Raw genomic sequence first — 8,176 nt, 5'->3', positions numbered from 1 at the left:
AGCTGATTAAATTTAGGAAAAATACTTAATTTCTTCAAGCCCCAGTATTCTCATCTGCATTTTATACAATTCTTATGAGGATGAGTACATAGAAGGCACTAAGTAAATGGTAGACAATTCAATCTACTTTTGATATATATTTTAATGCTCCTGTTATAAGTGCAAATTTAGACTAAGGGGGTCTGCAGTGAAGATAACTCATACCTTAGCTTTTCCTTTTCAGGTTCACCCATATTTGTCCCTCGACCTATGACTCTATTGCTGTCCTTCTGCAGGCAACTCAGTTTAGGATAATTGCCTTAAGAAATGTATTGGCTACGGAGAATCTCAGTGTATAAGTGAACAAGGCATATATTTTCACAGTGGCAGAATCCTTTGCTAGAATGCGGCTCTAATACATAAATCCTGATCTGTTATGATTCCTTACTGGCTATATATAATCTGCTGGGAAGAGTATATCATACACATTTAATTCCTAAATCATCAAAGCTTTAGGTATGTTTCCCTACTACTAGTCTAAGATTTTTCAGCAGCATTAGGGATGGTTATCTCACATAAGAGGCAAAATAATTTACATTCCTTAAAAAAAAATCATTCTCTATTTTGGTTTTTGGTTCTGGTCTCTAATATGATGGATTTGGCATATGTTAAGATTTATATTCTTGCCAAGGTATGTTGAGATTAAGTTTTCAGTTATCACTATGACAGTATTCCAAATTCTGTATTTTATGCATCTGAAGGCATACATAATTGTTTCAGGAAATCTATACACCAGAGTTGGCAGGCAATCACATTGCCAAAACTCTACCCATAGATAACAATCTAGATCAAAAGAACTATCTTCTCACATGCTTTGTACTGCCTCCAAATTTGTGTGCTTAAATATACGCACACCTACAGAATTAGCCACAACACCTATAAACTGTTTCATGTCAAACCCTTAAGAAAAATTTCCTTGCTTACAATTTTTTTTTTCTTTTTTTGAGACAGATTCTCACTCTGTTACCCAGGCTGGAGTGCAGTGGCGCAATCTTGGCTCACTGCAACCTCCGCCTCCTGACTTCAAGTGATTCTCATGCCTCAGCCTCCTGAGTAGCTGGCATTACAGGTGCCCGCCCCCACACCTGGCTAACTTTTGTATTTTCAGTACAGATGGGGTTTCGCTGTGTTGGTCAGCCTGGTCTCCACTCCTGGCCCCAAGCTATCTGCCTGCCTTGGCCTCCCAAAGTGCTGGGATTACAGGTGTGAGTCACCATGTCTAGCTCTTGCTTACAATTAACCCAGAGATCTTTCTATAGTTAATGAGAGACCTTTCTACTATTTCCAGAATATTCTAGAAAGTGAAACATAACTCCACTATTGACTATTTCTGAAAAGTACAACCAAGCCACAAACTCTTACCACTTCGATGCAGAACTGGTATTTCCATTTTATGAATACTTTAAAGAGATGTATAATTTGAAAGCAAATCTCAGCAGTTAAACACCCTTACGTAACAAAAGAACTCCAGTTAATAGTCTTATCTTAGAAGAAAAGGAACAGATTATAACTATTTAGAATAATTTTGAAAAAAAAAAAAAAACCTTTTTATTCCATGTTACTGCCAATTAATGGAGAGAAGAAAACAAAGATGTAGAAAAAAAAAATGAAAATGACAAAAAGTAAGGAAAAGTCAAGCACCCAGACAGAAACACAAAGATACTGGGGCAAAAACAGAGAACAGTATACAGAGAATATGTATCAAATTGATATAGAATTGTGAATGGAGATGTAAAGATGATCATGAAGTTAGTGTTAGTGTTAGTGGTAACTGGTTCACTATGAGGGTTTCTTCAAATTATGAGGATCAATGATGATGTAACATTTTTATATTCAAGGAATCACTTTGTGTGGTCTAAAAAACAGTTGCACAAAGAATCTGTTGTTCATCTTGCAAGATCCGTATCTAAAAGCTTATGAATTTATACACTGAGAAACATTTAATGCCATATTATAACAGCCTAAGTCATAGCACCCTGCAAGGGACCACCAAGACTGTCTGATTTTAAGAAATGTCCATATCAGATTATCAATTTGTTCATTATAGAAACTTAATATCAACAGATATACAAAGACCAATTCTTTTGACTTTCTTCATTTTCCTTTCCAGTGTCAAGTTAAAATAATTCAGATTCTACTCACTTCCAAATGAGTTTTCAGAAGTCAATGACATGAACAGTACTGCATAAGTTGTTATAATAATAAAATCTGCCTTTGAAAGTACTAACAATGGGCCCAACAATCACTTATTTATTAGATGTTCCACTAGAGAACATTTATTTAGATAAAAATTAATGTACTATGTTCATTTCAATTAAGCAAGAATAGTTATCAAATTAATTTTTTACTTTTATTTACAAGCATTATGAACAAATAACAATCTACAAATATCAGAAGGAAGAAATAAAATACTGTAACACCCTGGACTATCCTAAGAATAAAGGAGATAATATACATAAGAATTTTACACAAAGACAATTTTATCTTAGTTGTTGAACTACAAATATGTGTTTACTAACATGTTTTTAGTATTCATATCCAATAAGTATACTTGAAAAGAAGTTTTTAAAAATTATGAAGAAATAAACTCTTAAAACATGGTATAAGACCAAATGTCCACAAATTCATTTTAAAAGGGAAATCTAAAGGGGGGAAAAAAGATGGAGAGCATGCTACGACAGTAAATGATGTCACTTCAGAAAACATGTACCAGTCTTAGGATATAGGACAGACACTTCTCAAATATTAAAGTTAATAAGGAAAATTAAGAATAAAGCTGTTTTATCACAGCCACTCAAAAAGATGGTGCTCTGACTGAAAGCAAGGTGGAGAAAGCACTGGTCTATCATGAAGCCTGTTTAGAATCTCAGTATTTAGCTTTATGACAGTGGGGAAATTTATTAAACATTTTGGAATTCAATTTCCTTATCTTTAAAAAAAATGTGAATACTGGTTTCTTCTACTTTAAAAAATTCTCACTCTAGGGAAATGGCAGTAAACTAAAACTTAGAGAACATAGAGAGGATTTTTAACTCCAGCTCTTTAAACAGGTCAATTATATTTAATTTTCATTTATAAAATAAATTTTAGACAAAATTTTTCCAGTTCCCACTTCTTAAAGATTCGTTTTATGAAAAGAGAACCAAGAATGGTCCCTTAGAAGTAGCAAGCACATAAATAACTTATTTGACTATACTATGTAGTGGAAAACTCAGCAAAACCTAAGCAGCTCACGGGAGACATCTGCTGCTGAAACTGGGAACTTAACCTGTGTTAGCTACAGGAAATAAAAGGGCAGACATGAATTTTGTTAACTAGAGAGCAAAGCACCATCAGATTAAAAATGGAAGAAAAACAGTTTTAAATGACCGTCAACTTCCTATGTGGCAGAATATAAACACCAAGCCACTGATTTATATTGTTATAAAATATAAAGTCACTGACAATACAAAACATTAACTGACAGGAAACAAAACAACTTAAGAGTCAAACATGAGTAGGATGCTTTACACAACCCAAGAGATACTAAGGGTATACCTGGAAGAATATACTTTCCATACTAAAATTATCTAGTTCTCTGATAATTCACACAAAGAACCCACTCTGGATGGCCATGACAGACCATTTTCTCATTTTTTAATTGTGTCTAATCTCTACAGCAAGAATAGGGAAAGGTTAGGGTCACAGCTTGGCTACATGATATGCTAAGATAACAGGAAGGAAATAGAAGTAATTAAATTTTATTTTGCTTCCATCTTTTCTCTCAAGGAGAATAATTTTTAGACAGAAAGACTGATCAAACACAAAACAGATAAAGAGTCTAGTTGCCTTAGATGAGTTCCAGTCACAAAGCTAAATGAATCACCTCCTAGAAATAGAACAAATTTGTGTATGTAATTATGAAACCAAATTTTGGAAGAAAAACAGAAAACTGCAAAGTACAAAAAGAATGTAAATGATGAAGTATTCCAATATTTTAAAAGAGAAAAGAAGAGATAGGGTTCAAGAAGTTCAAAGTGTGGAGTCTGTGGCAGATCTTTTGACAAAATGCAGAATAGCTTAATACACATAGGTTTTGCCAGATCTCAGAAGAGGCCTCGAAGAACACTGGACACTTCTATGAAAAGTGTAACTTAAGAAACAATCAGGCCCAATAAGTCACATAACCCGTTTAGAGGTGCCAGACTAGTAGACTTGGGTAAATATTATGTCATAAGGATTTTGTGAAAATTGTCTAGAGTCTTTATGAAAAAGTTGGCAAAATGAGAGTTAGAGGATAACACAGTGAAGACCAGTATTTGATTAACAATCATATTCAAGAAAACTGGTGTAAGAAGAAATACCATGCTATATGGGTCTGTGTTTTGTTCTGTTTTATTCAACATTTCCATCCACGATAGGAAAAAAATATTTTACAGTTTGTAGATGGATGACTTCCTATCTGGGATATTATGGAGAAGACTCTGTACCTAGTTCATAATGGATGTTCAAGAAATTATGTGTTGGATTTGCATACAATTTTTATAACAAAGATTCACTCCCAGGGAACCTGGGGTAGAAAATCTCTTCTAAAGTTTAAAAGGACATAAGACGTATGACTCATCTAACATGCACTTTAGCAACTTACTGTGTAATTTCATAACAAATAAGCTATAACAAATATAATAAATAAGCTATAACAAATATAACAAATATAACAAATAAGCTATAACAGGCAGTATCCATATAACAGTGAGCCTTGAACAATATGGGCTTGAACTGTGTGGGCCCACTAATATGCAATTTTTTTTTCACTAAAAATTACACTGAGTGTACCTACTTCTTCTGCCTCCCCTTCTACCTCCTCCACCTCTTCCACCACTGAGACAGCAAGACCAACCTCTCCTCTTCCTCCTCCACCAACCCAATGTGAGGACAATGGGGTAAAGACCTTTCTGATGATCCGCTTGCACTTCATAGTGAAGACGAGTGTTTTCTCTTCCTTATGATTTTCTTAATAACATTTTCTTTTCTCTAGCTTACCTTACTGTAAGAATATAGTATATAATACATATAACATAAAAATTATATGTTAATTGACTATGTATGTTATCCATAAGGCTTCTGATCAATAATAGGCTATGAGTAGCTAAGTTTTGGGGGAGTCAAAAGTTATACGTGAATTTTCGACAGTGTAAGAGTTGTGGGGTCAGTGATGCTAACTCCCGTATTGTTCAAGGGTCAACTGTATTTTAACTTTATTCTTTAATAAAATACCTCAAGGTATTGTGGGTTTGGTTCTAGACTACTACAATAAAGAGAGTATAGCAGTAAAGTGAGTCACACGAACTTTTTGGTTTCCCAGGGCATATAAAAGTTATGTTTACACTATACTATAGCCTATTAAGTGTGCAACATCATTATGTCCAAAAAAATGTATATACCTCAGTTAAAAAACATAGCCAGACCCAATGGGTGGCTCATGCCTGTAATCCCAGCACTTTGGGAGGTGGAAACAGGAGGATCTCCTAAGGCCAGAGGTCAAGATGAGCCTGGGCAACACAGTGAGACACTGTCTTTGCAAAACAAACAAACCAAAATTAGCCAGGCATGGTGGTGAGTGCCTGTAGTCTCTGCTATTCTACAGTTTTGCCTCAACCCAAGCTCCATAAGCTCAGGTTTGCCTCTGAGCAATGATCACACCACTGCACTCCAGCCTGGGCAGCAGAGGAAGACCCTCTGTATTTAAAAAACAAACAACCCAACAACCTTTATAGCTAAAAAGTGCCACCGACCATCTGAGCCCTCAGTGCATATTCATCTTTATGCTGGTAGAATGTCTTCTCCTGATGTTGGTGGCTTCTGACTGATCAGGGTGGTGGTTGCTGAAAGCTGGGGTGGGTGTGGCAATTTCTTTAAACAAGACAATGAAGTCTGCCACATTAGCTTTTCCTTTCACAAAAGATTTCTCTGTAGCATAAGATGCTGTTTGATGCTATTCTACCCACAACAGAATTTCTTTCAAAAGTGTAGTCAATCCTCTCTTAACTCTGCTGCTACTCTATCAACTAACTTTACTAAATATTCCCAATTCTTTGTTGTAATTTCAACTATGTTTCTTTTCATTAATTTTTTTCTACAGCCTAATCTTGGAAGTGATTGTAGGAGACCGGTCAGGGTGGTGGGAAAAGTTATAAAAATTATAGGGAAAGATGCAAACCTTTCTGGAAGGCCGGGAGGTTTTGCAAAAGCTTCAAAAGAGGATTTAGCTAAAGGCAGTTAAATTCTCTTAAGAGCAAGGGTTAGATAACAAGGGAATGTAAAGGAACTTATCTAGATAAATTTGTTTATTCCTGTCTCCAGACACTAACCTTTGATCACTCGTGTGCAGGACTGCTCTCTACTTGGGGGTGAACAATGTTAATTACCCACAAATTGTGTTTGCTCCAAGCCTTTCTCATTAAATCTGTGCTAAACAAATGCAAGCATCTCTGGTTTATCGGGGTGGCTAACTCTCTTCAGCCCCTAGTGCCGGCAACCCCCTAGCCTGCTCTTTCACTGGATATCCATGTCTGAGAACTTCTTTCATCCATTGCTTGGCCAGAATCTGCAGGACAGACTCGGCAGGTGGTGCCCCCGCGTGAGGAACGCTGCAACAGATTGCGAGGGAACCCTCGAAAATGAAGGTGAAGAAACTGCGCAGTCAGTAAGTCATTGGTGCCCACTGTGGATTTCCAAGTTCGAGGGGATTGTTCAGGCTAGGGTTTCATCATGGGACAACAGTTATCAGCTCAATGGCAACAGTATATAAAAGTATTGAAACAGCTGCTTAAAGCTAGCGGAGCCTTGGTTTTGCAGGCTCAATTAAGGGACCTAATGCAAACTGTTGTGTTAGATATGAGTTCTAAATTTCTTTCCAAATAATTAATATGTCAGTATGTTCAATTCTTTGCCTTCTACTTTTAAACTTAACTTCCTCATAAAGGAACCTTTTTTGATTACCTACTCCACCCTAACTCATTCCAATTACCTGCTCCATGCTGACTCATTCCAATGACCTGCTCCACCCTAACTCATTCTGATCACCTGGTCCACCCTAACTCATTCCAATTACCTGCTACCTGCTCTGCCCTGACTCCTGCCAAAGCACTCACCCCATCATTCTCTTTAAATTAGCCAATCAGAATTAGTTTAGCCTGTGCGTCTAACCCTTGCCAACAGGGGAATGACACAGCAGCAGGGGCCATGTGCGTCAGGGATAAGAACCCCTTCCCCTCCCTTGTCCAAGTGTGTGTTCACCATTGCACCATCTTTAAGGGCACACTCTTCTATAGAAGTAACTTGCCTTGCTGAGAATTAAAAAAAAATTTTATATTTGAGTGGTATTCCTTTTGTAGCATCGAAACTTTATATGTAACAATTTGGGGGCTCGCCCATGATTGCATTCCCCTCCCGGGATGGTCTCTGGTTCTCTCTCGTGAGGAGGCTTGCCCTGCCCCCTTGTGGTGGCCTCAGGGGTGAGAAATCAAGACCCACCCAGTGCGAGGAATAACCCGAGCTCTCAGCAACGCAGAAAAAAATAAAAAATAAAAAACTGGCCAGCAACCTAGCTTAAAGGATCTTCACATACTGCAGCGATGACTCTGTGCACAGACCAAGGAAGGAGAAGCCGTGGGAGCCGGTAAAGTATTTCCTTGGTGGTCAGGACCAAGGTAAGAAAGCCGCAAGGGGGAGGGGGGCAGTGAACTACTCCTTGGTCGGGGTGGCTTAGAGGTTAAAAAGAGGCGAGCCATCCCCATTTCGGGGGATTGAACCTCACACAAACCTCCAGTAGCAGAAAAGGCAGAGATTTCCAGTGGGGAAACTGAGCCTCACACCCCAAAAGGCAAGACATTTCCAGTGGGGAAATTGAGCCTCACCCCAAAAGGTGAGAAATTTCCAGTAAGGGAAATTGAACCTTGAACCTTACCCCAAAACCATCAAGATGGGAAATACCCCAAGCAAGACAGGGAGCAAGGGAGATAAAGATGGTAACAAAGACATCCCCCTGGATATCTCCCTAGGTCTCATGCTAAAACACTGGAAGGATAACGAAAGGACTAAACTTAGGAAAAAGCAACAAATGATAACAATATTGCTGTTTTATTTGGACTCAGGG

The 8,176-nt window shown here is 37.6% G+C and overlaps 1 protein-coding gene across 4 annotated transcripts in view; it reads right to left on the bottom strand.

Moving 5' to 3' along the window:
- Positions 1-8,176, bottom strand: part of PSMD1 (proteasome 26S subunit, non-ATPase 1) — a 115,961-nt gene that overhangs the window by 65,227 nt on the left and 42,558 nt on the right. The window contains exon 18 of one of the 4 annotated variants that reach the window (XM_017004517.3): positions 4,396-6,776. The exons of the other annotated variants lie outside the window; for them this stretch is intronic. Within the exon in view, the coding sequence (XP_016860006.1) occupies positions 6,561-6,776 (216 nt within the window). The 3' untranslated portion in view covers positions 4,396-6,560. Of the gene's footprint in view, positions 1-4,395; positions 6,777-8,176 lie in introns of those variants that run through there. 4 annotated transcript variants of the gene reach the window in all.

Source organism: Homo sapiens, chromosome 2 (genome assembly GCF_000001405.40).
Source record: "Homo sapiens chromosome 2, GRCh38.p14 Primary Assembly".
In the NCBI taxonomy this organism is placed as follows: Eukaryota; Metazoa; Chordata; class Mammalia; order Primates; family Hominidae; genus Homo; species Homo sapiens.
Note: the sequence above shows the minus strand (reverse complement) of the source record. Positions and strands in the feature narration are given on the sequence as shown.